We start from the raw sequence: 705 nt of genomic DNA on the forward strand, positions 1-705 counted from the left end.
AACAAAAACAACAACAACAAAAAAAAACAGCACTATAGTCCAAGTGGACCTAACAGGCTTTTACAGAATATTTTATACAATAGTTTCAGAATGCACATTCTTCTCACTGGTACATGAAACACTAAGATAGACCATATGTTAGGCCATAAAATCAGTCTCAACAAATTTTTAGAAATTGAAATCATATCATGCATCTTTTCAGGTCACAATGGAATGAAACCAGAAGTGAATAACAGAAGGAACTTTGGAAACTGTACCACCAGATGTAAATTAAACAACCTACTCCTGAACAGCCAATGAAGAAATTAAAGGTCAATGAAGAAATTAAAGATACTACAAAATGTATTGAAACAAGTGAAAATAGAAATACAACATACCAAAACCTATGAAATACAGCAAAAGCAGTACTGAGAGGGAAGTTTATAAAAATAAATGTTTACATCAAAAAAGTAAGACAATTTCAAATTAGCAACCTAATGATGCACCTCAAGGAATTAAAAAAGCAAGAGCAAATAGAACCCCAAATTAGTATGAGGAAAGAAATAGTAGAGATCAGAAAAGAACTAAATGAAATAGAGAATGAAAAAGTAATACAAAAGATCAATAAAATGACAATTTTTTAAGATAAAATCAACAAACCATTAGCTAGACTAAGACATAAAAAAGAAATCCCAGATAAATAAAATCAGAAACAAAAAAGGAGAT

The sequence above is a fragment of the Homo sapiens genome, chromosome 2 (genome assembly GCF_000001405.40).
Source record: "Homo sapiens chromosome 2, GRCh38.p14 Primary Assembly".
In the NCBI taxonomy this organism is placed as follows: domain Eukaryota; kingdom Metazoa; phylum Chordata; class Mammalia; order Primates; family Hominidae; genus Homo; species Homo sapiens.